The 14,879-nt window shown below is 37.7% G+C and overlaps 1 protein-coding gene across 13 annotated transcripts in view; it reads left to right on the top strand.

The window, feature by feature from the left end:
• Positions 1 to 13,043, top strand: part of ELF1 (E74 like ETS transcription factor 1) — a 129,468-nt gene extending 116,425 nt beyond the window's left edge. For 12 of the 13 annotated variants that reach the window (NM_001370330.1, NM_001370329.1, XM_047430118.1 and 9 more), the window contains 4 exons: positions 1,037 to 1,120; positions 1,818 to 2,010; positions 3,592 to 4,041; positions 10,934 to 13,038. In NM_001370330.1, coding sequence (NP_001357259.1) covers positions 1,037 to 1,120; positions 1,818 to 2,010; positions 3,592 to 4,041; positions 10,934 to 11,537 — 1,331 coding nt within the window. In that variant the 3' untranslated portion in view covers positions 11,538 to 13,038. Of the gene's footprint in view, positions 1 to 1,036; positions 1,121 to 1,817; positions 2,011 to 3,591; positions 4,042 to 10,933 lie in introns of all 13 variants that reach the window. The other variant, NM_001145353.1, reaches the window with a different exon arrangement.
• The last annotated feature ends 1,836 nt before the right edge of the window (positions 13,044 to 14,879 follow it).

Raw genomic sequence — 14,879 nt, 5'->3', positions numbered from 1 at the left:
TCATTCACCCAAATGACTTCAGAAATGTTTTCCTATTCCATTTCTGGGGATAAATTGTCACTGACCTTGTGATTTTTTTTTTTAGCTGTAAAATTCTGCTTTTCTAAGTTATTGCCCTGCCCTGTGTTATATTTACCTGTAATTCACCACAGTAATCTAAACCAGAGCGGCAGCCTCAAGGATGTTTGGGTAGGAGGTAGTAACTCTTCATTGTTTCTCACATATAGAATGGTAGTATGTTCAGACAGCATGATCATGATCTCAACCTAAATACAAGGCAGTGGCGCTGCTAGGCCATGGTTCTAGATACTTGGCAAAAGAAGATCACAAATACGGCTTTAGAATAGTTTATCGACCCCACTCTGAGGCTATTGGGATGGACTTATTTAGACATTGATGGTGGGTAAGGTAACTATGAAGTTTGTTGTGAATTGAAAGGTACAGAAAAACGAGATGTTTTTAGAAATACACAGGAGGATAGCATTTAACTATGTGGTTCACCAAAATTTTGCCTCACATATTTTCTGTATTTCTAGAGTTTGGGAAGTTTCTTATACTTGAGAACTAACTGTATACAGAAATTATTTAATAGAGAAAAAAGCTAAAAATCCACTTCTCCTACCTTAAAAAGCTTGTATAATTAATAGGCAGACAAAACTGTATGGCTTATTTTTGGAGCCCACGTTCTACCAATGTCAAGAGCATTCTCCAAAAGTTTAAGAAAGCACTACCAGTATGGGTACTTCAAAGGCAAGCTATAGTAATTTAAATTAACTTCATTTTTACAGATATAAACTGAGGTGTCAAAGGTATCATTTCTTACATAAGTGTGTTTATGGTTTAACCTGCATTAATGTCCAAGTTTTATTAAAGTTGTTTTCCTTTTAGTAAACAGCATTTTAAGAGACCTGTATATGTGACCCATGTATAAAAACATTTGGCACTTGAAATTTAGGGTAAACGACAAAATAGCTGAATTGTCCATTTTCTCTCACTTTTGAAGGCAAATATTTATGCAGAGCTGTTTTTATTTCAGGAAGAAAAACTAAACCACCACGACCAGATTCCCCAGCCACTACGCCAAATATATCTGTGAAGAAGAAAAACAAAGATGGAAAGGGTACTACTGTGTAATACTTATAGGTCAAATAACACTCAGATTGCTTTATAGTGCCTACCTATTATAACTAGAAACCACCAGCTTTCTTGATATACTGCAGTGGATCTTATTGCTGCCACATGCTTATTAGATACATTTGCCAAATTCTTAAAACTGATAGTAAAGTAGACCAAGAAACTCGTTTGAGTGATTTTCACTTACCTGTCAAAATAATCTATTCTTTTCATTTAATAAAGAGACTCTTGGAAGAATTTAACCAGGTTAGATTTTCAGTTCATAGACCCTTTAATATGTTGTCTTGAAATTCAAGCATTTGTATAACTGTTGCCCAAATTTGAAGAAAACTGTTATGGCCGACCTGCTGGCTCTAATCTAAAGAGAACTACTGTTGAGAGAGTTCACAAAGAGACAGAAAAAAATTATCTCAAAGTACTTTCTCCTAAATCATCACAAATCTTATGACAAGATTGCTTTGTTCACATATTTTATATGGGACTCATAAAAAGATCTTTATTAGATGCTAAAAATTATGACCATTATATCACCCATACTAACTAAATTATGTCACCAATACTAACTGAATTATGTAATATTTTTGTATAAATATAAATGGCACTTCTAAGACTTTTAGTTGTCTTTTTTGAGGTTCTTTTAAATGAAATTTTGGTCATTTAGAAAGAAATTGTTTTTGTTTCAGGAAACACAATTTATCTTTGGGAGTTTTTACTGGCACTGCTCCAGGACAAGGCTACTTGTCCTAAATACATCAAGTGGACCCAGCGAGAGAAAGGCATTTTTAAATTGGTGGATTCTAAAGCAGTGTCCAGGTTGTGGGGGAAGCACAAAAACAAACCTGATATGAATTATGAGACCATGGGAAGAGCACTCAGGTATGCGAAGTTTTGGTATTTTATTGTGTTAAGAATATCATTTTCTAAATTGTAAAAAAAAATACTAAGCTTAAGTTCAGCAAAGCACCAATAGTGGTAATGCAAATACATAATAAGAGGGTACATTTTCAGTCAGGTGCGGTGGCTCATGCCTGTAATCCCAACACTTTGGGAGGCTGAGGCCGGTGGATTGCTTGAGTCCAGGAGTTTAAGACCAGCCTGGGCAACATGGCAAAACCCTGTCTCTACTAAAAATACAAAAAATTAGCCAGGCGTGGTGGTATGCACCTGTGGTCCCAGCTACTCGGCAGGCTGAGGTGGGAGAATCACCTGAGCCCGGGAGGTTGAGGCTGCAGTGATCCAGATTGTACTACTGAACTCCAGCTTGGGCAACTGGAGTGAGACCCTGTCTCAAAAAAAAAGAGGGTGCATTCTCAAACATGAATTGCAAGTATGATATGTTAGTTATTATAGTAGAATAAATCAGTGCTTCAGGAGTACTACTAGAAATCATGAGAATTTTGAACAAGAGTAACATTCTTAAGCTCACTTTTAGTTCGTTTTTCGGTGATTCTGTCATTTATCCTTCAAGATACGCATGTATTTGAGAAAGATGTATTGGAAATAAGAACGATCTGAATGACTTTTAGGGGATAGACAGATATAGATATAAAATTTAGCAGTCTTAAACTAAAACTCTTTAATTACAGTTTTTGGGTTTTTTTAACATACACTTTTTAAGTTCTTGATTTTGTTAAAATAGATGACAAAAGTTGGATCACTGCTATTGCATATGGTTAAATTTTATACACAAAAGTCAATCAAATTTACTGAATCAAATTTAAACTGATACATTTGCCAATTTAAATTTATTGAATCAAATTTAAACTGATAAAATTTGCCTAGTAGGAACATTTCTAGAAAGCCGTGGAGGAGAAACAATTTCTTGAGGCTTTTGGTAGTTTTGATTATCCTGGCAAGTTGGCAGAGGGGGGCTGAGTGTGGTGGCTCGCTTCTATAATCCCAGCATTTTGGGAGCCTGAGAAGGAAGGATCGTTTCAGCCTGGGAGTTCCAGATCAGCCTGGGCAACATGGCAAAACCCAGTCTCTGCCAAAAAATGCAAAAATTAGCCACGTGTGGTAGCATGCGCCTGTGGTCCCAGCTACTGAGGAGGCTGACGTGGAAAGATTGCTTAAGGCCAGGAGTTCAAGGCTGCAGTGAGCTGTGATCATGCCACTGCACTCCAGCCTGGGCAACAGAGCAAGACTCTGTCTCCAAATAAATAAGTAAATAAGTTAGCAGAAAGAGGAAGAAAAGTGAAAGACCAGAGGATTCCACATAGTTTATCAACAGTCCCCCAATCAGCATTAGTTTTAGATTTAGTTGGTAATAAGAACTTATCTCTATCTGTGCATAAATGTATGTTTATCTCATATAAAATAACAGCCCTTTATTTAGAAATTCTTTTCTCATTAGTTTGATTCCAACTTTAAAGTTTTGTTTATGATTAGGGAAATTTGATTTTGTTGAATATTTTAATTGATGTTTGATTGATTGATGAAATTGTCTGCTTTGAATAGGTACTATTACCAAAGGGGTATTCTGGCAAAAGTGGAAGGTCAGCGCTTGGTGTATCAGTTTAAAGAAATGCCAAAAGATCTTATATATATAAATGATGAGGATCCAAGTTCCAGCATAGAGTCTTCAGATCCATCGCTATCTTCATCAGCCACTTCAAATAGGAATCAAACCAGCCGGTCGAGAGTATCTTCAAGTCCAGGGGTAAAAGGAGGAGCCACTACAGTTCTAAAACCAGGGAATTCTAAAGCTGCAAAACCCAAAGATCCTGTGGAAGTTGCACAACCATCAGAAGTTTTGAGGACAGTGCAGCCCACGCAGTCTCCATATCCTACCCAGCTCTTCCGGACTGTTCATGTAGTACAGCCAGTACAGGCTGTCCCAGAGGGAGAAGCAGCTAGAACCAGTACCATGCAGGATGAAACATTAAATTCTTCCGTTCAGAGTATTAGGTGAGAAAACCAAACTACTGATGCTTATCACTTCAATATGTTTCTGACCAGAGACATTATTTGTTAAGTGGGTCAAGATTCAGAAATGAAAATAAAAGTATAAAGGTTTCAAGCTAGAATTCTTGGTTACCAGATTTTTCAGGAGCAGTTACTATTATGTCAGTCCTCTGATTATGCCACTGGTCCCTTTATTTACATTTTGACATTACTGGCATTATTCTGTCAAATACTACACCTTTGTATAACTGGATTGATACATATAAGAAATTATCTAGATGGGAGAAAATCCAGGGTTTCAAATCTTTATTCAGGCCAAGTCAGAAGCTTCAAAAATTCAACATAAATTGACATATTAGGACATTGAGAGTGCATAGAGTTCCAAGCAATAAATGTTATTCCTTGGAAGATCCTATCTTCGAACAATTCTAAAGTTCAAATAGGAAGGGAGGCCAAGAATCTAAGGTCCTCTTTTAGAGTGGCAGAAGTTGAAAAAGTAGGTTTGTTTTTTTTTTTTTTTTTTTTTTTTTTTTTTTTCAGTTAAATCAGATTTGCCTCAGAGCCCCAGGATGAGATGCTAAACAACAAATTGACTGAGAGGATCTGTCTGCCTTAGACTGATCTGCAGAAATTTGGGACTAGTCTCAGCTGACTTAGAATGGGAGTATGGGAGGAAGGCAGAAAATTATATGGATATTTGTAGCATTTTTCTGTTTATACTGTCATGAATTTCTAGAACATGAACCATAATAAAATCTAGCAGCCCTTTCAAAGCCAATAAAAATTATTATTTGATTACTTTTATTAGCAAACTTCAGTCTTACATTTTTATATTCCAGAATATAAATGTGGAGGTTTTGCTCAGTTGATCTTGGAGTAAGGTAACATTACCTAGAATCAAGGCAGACTTAGAAGATTCAGTCTTCTTTGTATAGACAATTTAAAATGTTTGACCTTGTGAAAATATTCTCTTAAATCTTCACTTGATTTGCAAGGAGTACAAAGATGACCTTTACATTTTTAATTGGATGCTACATCTTTTAACTGTTATTAAAGGAGTATATCTTGAGTAGCCCTTATCCAAAATGCCTGGGACCAGAAATATTTTGGATTTAGAATTGTTTCGGATTTTGAATCGTTGCATTATACTTACCCGGCACAGCATCCCAAATCCAAAAATCTGAGATCCACAATGCTCCCGTGAGCATTTCCTTTGAGCATCTTATTGGTGCTCAAAAAGTTTCATATTTTAGATTTCAGATTTTCGGATTTGGGATGCTCAGTGGGTGCTTATTTAACTCTTACTGTCCGTATTCTCCCCTTAATGTTTTATATTTCCCTAGGCCCTGTGGGTTACAGGTGATGACTGGGTGTCTGGTTGGGAGTGTGTGGTTCCTCCCATTGGTTTCTAGGCTGTTTGTTGTTTGTATTTGTGTTGATAGGAGACCTACAGTGGCCACAGCTGATTCCATGGAATTTTTTTAGCATCTGTATTCAAAATATTCTTTTTAGACTGTGAGAATAAAACCAAAACAAAAAACTCTAGCTTTGAAAGATACTAAATTGTAGATATTATAGAGTAGGTTTTTGTTTTGTTTTGTTTTTTTGAGACAAAGTCTAGCTAGCTTTGTTGCCTAGGCTGGAGTGTAATGACACCATCATAGCTCACTGCATCCTACTTCCAGGACTCAAGCAGTCCTCTCACCTCAGCCTTCCTCATAGCTGGGACTACAGGCATGTCCAGCTAATTTTTTAATTTTTTGTAGAAATGGGGTTTTACTTTGTTGGTCTTGAACCAAGACCAACCAAGCAATCCTACCACCTTGGCCTCCTGAAGTGCTGGGATTATAAGTGTGAGCCACTGCATCTGGCCTAGAATGGTTTTTTATTAGGACAAGTTCTGGTTTTGTTATTTCTTATATTTTTTGTTTGCATTTTTGTAATTACCCAACCTTTTACTATGGAAAATTTCAAAGTATGGAAAAATTCAGCTAGTACTATGAACACTTATTTACTATCCACCTAAATTCACAAATTGATAGCATTTTGCATTATTTGTTTTCTCTATTTATTTATACCTTTTTTTCTCTTTGACTATATCTTTCTTGATTTTTGATGACTTATTAATAAAATCAGAGGCTTTTAACTTTTTTCCCTGTGGTTGAGAGAAGATGGAATGTATATGATTATATATATAATTAGATAAATTATTAATATAACAACAAGAGCTGACACAGAGCACTCTTTGTACTTCATACACTTTACATATAGTGAGGCATAGAATCCTCATAGCTCAATGAGAATAGATAATATCCCCGTTTTATAGATGTGGAAACTGAAGCAAGGAGAGACCAGGGAACTTGGTCACATGTAGCAGATGGTGGAGATAGTATTTTAATGCTAGCTGTTTAGCTGCAAGCATTGAAGTTAATGACTTGCTACACTGCCTACCGATTTACATAAATCACAGGAATTGTCAGTTATTTACAGTAAAACAGCAACATCTTAATTTTGTCCTTCACTCATTTCTTTTTATTTCATGTGATTGCATGTATCTATGTTGATTCAGTTAAGCTTTTCTTAATTGGTGTACAGTATATATGCTCAGTTTTTACAAATTTACAAAAAGAAGCCAGTTTGATTCTGGCTTCATGGTAGTCAAAGAAACAACAACAGAAATAAACTGCTGGTAAACTATTTTCTGAAAATTGCCCCTTGGTAAACATTGGAGACCATTTTACCTAGCATAACTTTTATTTATCCAAGCATTAATAATTTTTCTTAGGATCTTTTAAATAAATTATCCTGGCCAGGTGCAGTGCCTCACACCTGTAATTCCAACACTTTGGGAGGCCGAGGCGGGTGGATCACCTGAGGTCGGGAGTTTGAAACCAGCCTGGCCAATATGGCAAAACCCCGTCTCTACTAAAAATACAAAAATTAGCTGGGTATGGTGGCAGGCACCTGTAATCCTAGCTACTCAGGAGGCTGAGGCAGGAGAATAACTTGAACTCAGGAGGGGCAGAGGTTGCAGTGAGCCAAGATTGCATCACTGCACTCCAGCTGGGGCTACAGAGTGAGACCCCGTCTCAAGTAAATAAATAAACAAACCTGTGAAAATGTATAATGTGTAGGTTATCCTAAAAGCATATAGAAGCTGGGCGCGGTGGCTCATGCCTGTAATCCCAGCACTGTGGGAGGCCGAGGCGGGTGAATCACGAGGTCAGGAGTTCGAGACCAGCCTTCCCAACATGGTGAAAACCCGACTCTACTAAAAATACAAAAAATTAGCTAGGCGTAGTGGCGGGCGCCTGTAATCCCAGCTACTTGGGAGGCTGAGGCAGAAGAATCGCTTGAACCTGGGAGGCAGAGGTTGCAGTGAGCTGAGATGGCGCCACTGCACTCCAGCCCAAGTGACAGGGTGAGACTCTGTCTCAAAAAAAATTTTCAGCTCTTCAGCCTTGCTAATTATTAGATGTGAAATTGAATCACGTTAATTATTTTGAGTCTGTTTCCTTATCTGTAAAGCACAGATGATAATATTTAACCTTCCACTTGGCTGTGACAATTAAATGACACCTGACACCTGAGTAGATCCTCAACAAATGCTAAATGTTATATGGTCTGTGTTAGTTTCAGAAATTTTGATAAATTGTAAATTAGCAATATTTTTCCAGTTGTTTACAAGCAGCTTAGGAGATTTTTAAAAAGTAGTCAGCTGTAATAGAATCTGTATTACATAATACAACCAGACGCAACTGACAGTTTAATCATTAACTAAGAAGAAAGTAATTCTGTGGTTGGCAAAGACTTAATAATATTTTATTTAATCTCTGAATTTGTATTATTGAAAATTGTTTTAGAATTTGTTCCAATAAGCCAATATATTTGCATCGTAGATGGTATAGATAAGTGTATGCATTTTCTGACAGATGGCAGTCAGGTGTCTCAAGAAAAGGACTTTTTTTTTGAGACTGAGTCTCCCTCTGTAGCCCAGGCTGGAGTGCAGTGGCACGATCTCACTCACACTGCTCCCTTCACCTCCCAGCTCCTGGTTCAAGCAGTTCTCCTGCCTCAGCCTCCCGAGTTGCTGGGATTATAGGCACGCGCCACCATGCCCAGCTAATTTTTTTTTTCTTTTTTTTCTTTTTTTTTTTTTTTTTGAGACGGAGTCTTGCTCTGTCAACCAGGCTGGAGTGCAGTGGCGCGATCTCGGCTCACTGCAAGCTCCGCCTCCCAGGTTCACGCCATTCTCCTGCCTCAGCCTCCCCAGCAGCTGGGACTACAGGCGCCCGCCACCACACCCGACTATGCCCAGCTAATTTTTGTATTTTTAATAGAGATGGGGTTTCACCATGTTGACCAGGCCGTCTTGAACTCTGTACCTTGTGATCCACCCACCTTGGACTCCCAAAGTGCTAGGATTACAGGCATGAGCCACCGTGCCCGGCCAAGAAAAGGACATCTTTTTCTAATTTAAACAGAAGCAGCGAAGTCCTAGTGGTAGCCCTGATTAGCAATATGGAAAATTTCCAAGTACATTATTGCTTGTGTCATACCTTACAGAAGGAAAGAAGAATGAGAGAGGCATATATTAGAGAGTTGTAACTGCCTATTGTTTAAGGATAGAATAATAAATACTCATCTTTAGTATTTACTAAAGATGAAGTTGCTCAGGACTTAAGTGGCGGCAGTCTGTTGTAATGGTAAGGCGGCACATCGGCTCTGCAGTCAGATGGCCTCTCTTCTTCTCTAACTGGTCACCTTATGCAAGCTGTTGCAACCTGTTTGTGCATCAGTGTTTTCGTATGTAAGATGGGGATAATATTTGTAGGGTGGCAAGGTTATACATATTATAAGGTTATGCATATTGATGTAATCTGTGTGCTAACTATATGCCAAGTACTATTTTATCTATGTGTATGTTATGTAAACTCTTGTCATGGGAAGCCCTTAGGCCTTTTTTATTTAAAAATGGTATCTGGGCTGGGCACGGTGGCTCACGTGATGCCAATGATGTCAGGAGTTCAAGAACAGCCTGGCCAACGTGGTGAAACCCTGTTCCTACTAAAAATACAAAAAAATTAGCTGGGCATGGTGGCGGGTGCCTATAATCCCAGCTACTCGGGAGGCTGAGGCAGAGAATTGCTTGAACCTGGAAGGTGGAGGTTGCAGTGAGCTGAGATCACACCACTGCACTCCAGCCTGGGCAACAGAGCGAGACTCCATCTCAAAAAAAAAAAAAAAATGGTATCTGGCTATAGCGTCAGGTACTGTACCCAGGCTCCCATCTCACCCCAGATTTCCCTGAATCAAATGGGCAAGAGAACTTGGGTGGCCATCTAAGTTTGGTAATCTGTATCCTGCGTGAATGGGCGGGCTCTAGTCATCCTGTGTCTTTATTCCCACTTCTTTTGAACGTGTCCTGAATTGCTCTGGGTCTTTGTTTCATCTTTCCACCAAGCCAATTTGTTTTTCTCCTCCACTATTTTATTTCTCATATGTGAGAAACAGACTGCATAACTAACTTTCAAAATGTAGCTTTAATAATCTAGTGGTAATATTTAACGCTTGGTTTATGGAGACTAGTCTAGCTGTCAGCTGTTTGAAATAGCAAGTATCTTTCATTAAATAACTTTACAGAATTCAAAGGAAACAGTTGACATCCAGATACTGAGATTTTTCAACACCATTTGTTTTATACTATATTAACAATAACCTTAACTATAAATTTCAGAGCTGTGAACTTTTTAAATTAGATTGACTCATAATATCATTTATGTAACTTTCTCTTCAATGAGTGGGATTAACAACCTACATAAACTAGATTTTGCATTAAAGGATTTTATGTTAAACTGTAGCTTTATGACCAAAATTTGTGAAAATTATTTGAACCTGGAAAACTGCTAAAACATGCTTCTATGTATTTTTCCAAAGCTTAGCCATATTTTCTCTACCAGTCCAAGAGCCCTGACAGGTTAATTATAATCATGGCTTGTTTCATCTAAATATGACATGAAATGTGAGCTATTAAAATTCTAAGAATTCTGTCATATGGTTAAGACTGAGGTAGGTTTTTTGTTTAGGTTAATTAAGCACTTCTCCCTTTATATGTAAAAACAGGTTGAATACAATTATATGAATTTTGGTAATTATTGTGGATGAGCATGTTGGTAACATTATCTCTCAAATATTAAAATAGCAGGCCGGGCACAGTGGCTCATGCCTATAATCCCAGCACTTTGGGAGGCCGAGGCGGGTGGATCACCTGAGGTCAGGACTTTGAGACCAGCCTGACCAACATAGAAAACCCCATCTCAATTAAAACTACAAAAATTAGCCGGGCGTGGTGGCACGTGACTATAATCCCAGCTACTCGGGAGGCTGACAGGAGAATGGCTTGAACCCAGGAGGCAGAAGCTACAGTGAGCCAAGATCACGCCACTGTACTCCAGCCTGAGCAACAAGAGTGAAACTCCATCTAAAAAAAAAAAAAAAAAAAAAAAAGCAGGAATGAATCAAACAGATTTGCTTTTAAATTCCTAATTTTAAGAAGCTCATGCAAACTTCTTGCTAAGCATTTTAACATCCTCCTCCTTCCCCAACAAAATTAGCTCCTCATTTGTGTTAATGTGGCCCTATGTACAGACCTTTCTTCCATAGCACTCAGCAGATGGTATCATAGTTAATGGCCTGAGAGTTTTGTGTTAGGCATCTCTGTATGTAGTGTTTAATACAAAGTCTGGCATGATATTGGTCATGCTCTGTTGAAAATATGGGAAGCAGCATTTTGAAACACATAACTGGTATTTTGTAAAATGACTTGTCAAGTGTTAAAGTTTTAAATGATGTAGAATATGCTAATTGTCTCACTTTAATTTCATCATCTCAATAGGACTATACAGGCTCCAACCCAAGTTCCAGTGGTTGTGTCTCCTAGGAATCAGCAGTTGCATACAGTAACACTCCAAACAGTGCCACTCACAACAGTTATAGCCAGCACAGATCCATCAGCAGGTACTGGATCTCAGAAGTTTATTTTACAAGCCATTCCATCATCACAGCCCATGACAGTACTGAAAGAAAATGTCATGCTGCAGTCACAAAAGGCGGGCTCTCCTCCTTCAATTGTCTTGGGCCCTGCCCAGGTTCAGCAGGTCCTTACTAGCAATGTTCAGACCATTTGCAATGGAACCGTCAGTGTGGCTTCCTCTCCATCCTTCAGTGCTACTGCACCTGTGGTGACCTTTTCTCCTCGCAGTTCACAGCTGGTTGCTCACCCACCTGGCACTGTAATCACTTCAGTTATCAAAACTCAAGAAACAAAAACTCTTACACAGGAAGTAGAGAAAAAGGAATCTGAAGATCATTTGAAAGAGAACACTGAGAAAACGGAGCAGCAGCCACAGCCTTATGTGATGGTAGTGTCCAGTTCCAATGGATTTACTTCTCAGGTAGCTATGAAACAAAACGAACTGCTGGAACCCAACTCTTTTTAGTTAATATACCAAAGCTTATGAATAATTGTTTGTTAATTGAACATTTTCAATTATATGCAGACTGACTGATTCTAAGATAAATTCTAAGGAGGTTTCTAATTTTGTAATTGTTAAAAATAGAGTTAATTTTGACTTTGTTAGATGAGGGAGGAAAACTCAACTGTTTCTCTTTGTTATCTAAATGTTTCAGAATTCAATCGTGAAGGAACAGGCATTTTACACTATGAAGACATTCTTTTGAGATTTTTATTTCAGTTGCTATATCATAAGCATTTTTAAAGTTTCTTTTCTAATTTTACATTGTATTAGATTTTCTGATTCTTTTGTAAATACAGAACTTAAATAGAAGGCAACAGGAAATTTATATAGGAACTATTTTCATTCCACTTGTGTAAGTTAAGTCTTGACTCTTTCAAATGCAAAAAACCTATTTTATGCTTTGTTAAAATTATGGTGTCACTTAGATTGACTTTAGTTGACTGCACTATATAATATAGAACTATGAATATGTAGAATAACATGAAAAATTGGAGGTGCTGGTGGTATGGCTGACCCTGTTTCAGAAGCAGGATAGTATAAAAGCATCAGCCTAAGAATGGCACTCCCACTAACTAGCTATGTAATCTTGACCTCTTTGGGCTTTAGTTCCTCTCATAAAAGGAAGAGATGTATTGGATTAGACTAGATGATCACCACTTTCTCTTCTAGTTCTAATTTTTTTAATTCTAATACCTATATTTTCAAGTTATGTCAATTAAATCATTATCAGGTTATTTCCTAATGTAAGAATAGCTAAAATGTTGCAGAGAAATAAGTGACCCAACAAAATTTATTCATCTGTTATGGGTAAGATCTGCCATAAATTCTTCCTAAATAATTTGTTTACTAACTCTTTAGGCCACTGTGCTTTGCGGTCCATTAGTAAACTTGTGTTGCTAAGTGCTAAACAGAATACTGCTATTTTGAGAGAGTCAAGACTCTTTCTTAAGGGCCAAGAAAGCAACTTGAGCCTTGGGCTAATCTGGCTGAGTAGTCAGTTATAAAAGCATAATTGCTTTATATTTTGGATCATTTTTTACTGGGGGCGGACTTGGGGGGGGTTGCATACAAAGATAACATATATATCCAACTTTCTGAAATGAAATGTTTTTAGATTACTTTTTCAACTGTAAATAATGTACATTTAATGTCACAAGAAAAAAATGTCTTCTGCAAATTTTCTAGTATAACAGAAATTTTTGTAGATGAAAAAAATCATTATGTTTAGAGGTCTAATGCTATGTTTTCATATTACAGAGTGAATTTGTATTTAAACAAAAATTTAAATTTTGGAATCCTCTAAACATTTTTGTATCTTTAATTGGTTTATTATTAAATAAATCATATAAAAATTCTCAGTGTCTGTTTTCAGGCAAAAGTTTCTTAAAGAATAAGTGTGCAGAGAATATTACTAGAACATCAGCATTACTTAATGTTTATAAATAAATTTCATTAGTCAGAATTGCAGAATATCATCCTTTCACTTTTCCTTTCTAGCAGGCCAAATGGCAATTTCTAAACATCACACAATGGATTACCAAGTTGTAAAAATTAGACAACAATAAAATATTCCCAGCAATAATATTAAACACACTTTTGTTTTGTTTTGTTTTTGAGACAGAGTCTTAGCTCTGTCACCCAGGCTGCAGTAAAGTGGCGTGACCTTGGCTCACTGCAACCTCCACCTCCCAGGTTCAAGCTATTCTCCTGCCTCAGCCTCTCAAGTAGCTGGGATTACAGGTGCCCACCACCACATCCAGCTAATTTTTTGTATTTTTAGTAGAGACAGGGTTTCACCATGTTGGCCAGGCTGGTCTTGAACTCCTGATCTCTGGTGATCCACTCGCTTCGGCCTCCCAGAGTGCTGGGATTACAGGCGTAAGCCACCATGCCCCACCTAAGCACTCTTTTGAAAACAAGTTTTCTAGTTAGAAACTAGGTCAGTTAGTAGTTAAACTTGGAAAACATAGAAAAATTTTCTTATGAAAATTAAAATCTCTGTAATCCAATACCCCATATCCAGAAGTAACTTTCACTTACTCATTTTTTCATGTTTGTGAATATTCTTCCAAAATGTGATTTTAAAGGCTGTGTAATACTATATTAGTATACCAAAATCTAGTTAAATAAAACCTTTTTAACTAGATAAGTTAGTTTTATGGTTTTTTCACCACATAGATAGTGAATATCAGTGTCTTAGTTCATTTTCTTTGTTGCTGCTATAACAGAATACCTGAGACTGGGTAATTTATAATGAACAGAAATTGATTTGCCCACAGTTCTGGAGTCTGGGAAGTCCGATATCAATGCACCAGCAGGTTTGACGGTTCTCATTCCAAACAGTGCCTGAACACCGTGTCCTCTGGAGGGGAAGAAGGCTTCATCTTCAAATGGCGAAGACAGAAAAGCAAAGACAGCCCACTTCCACTTCCAAAAGACTTTTTATTTATTTATTTATTTATTTTTTTGAGACAGATTTTTGCTCTTGATGCCCAGGCTGGAGTGCAATGGCGTGATCTCAGCTCACCTCAACTTCCGTCTCCCAGGTTCAAGTGATTCTTCTACCTCAGCCTCCCAAGTAGCTGGGATTACAGGCATGTGCCACCACGCCCGGCTAATTTTCTATTTTTAGTAAAGGTGGGGTTTCTCCATGTTGGTCAAGCTGGTCTCGAACTCCCAACCTCAGGTGATCCGTCCGCCTCAGCCTCCCAAAGTGCTGGGATTACAGGCATGAGCCACTGCACCCAGCCAAGCCTTTTTATGAAGGCATTAAACCCATCCATGAAGGTGGAGCCCTCCTGGTCTAATCACTGCTTAAAGGCCTCACCTCCCAATACCTTTACTTTGGCAATTAAATTTCAACATGAGTTTTGGAGGGAACAAACATTCCAGCCATAGCATACAGTACATAATGGTTTTTTAAAAATTAAGGATCTTGCATTATTTTTGAGTCAGTTATCCTTATAGGAGATACCAGATAAACTCTATTTATAATAGTAACACCATTTAAATTGTGTATGGGTTTTTTTTACTTTAAGAAGTATAGTATAAGAATTTTTAGAGACACTGTTATTTAAGGTTATTGGAATAGTGTACAATTACCATGAATACTGAAATTTTAAAGATGGGAAAAGAAGTCCGGGTGCAGTGTCTGTCGCCTGTCATCTCAGCACTTTGGGAGGCCGAGGTGGGAGGATCACTTGAGCCCAGGAGTTTAAGACCAGCCTGGGCAACATAGTGAGATGTCATCTTTACAAAAATTCAAAAAATTAGCCAGGTGTAGTGATGCATTCCTGTGGTCCC

Source organism: Homo sapiens, chromosome 13, assembly GCF_000001405.40.
Source record: "Homo sapiens chromosome 13, GRCh38.p14 Primary Assembly".
Classification (NCBI taxonomy): domain Eukaryota; kingdom Metazoa; phylum Chordata; class Mammalia; order Primates; family Hominidae; genus Homo; species Homo sapiens.
The sequence above is the reverse complement of the archived record's forward strand: the minus strand, read 5'-3'. Positions and strand labels throughout refer to the sequence as shown.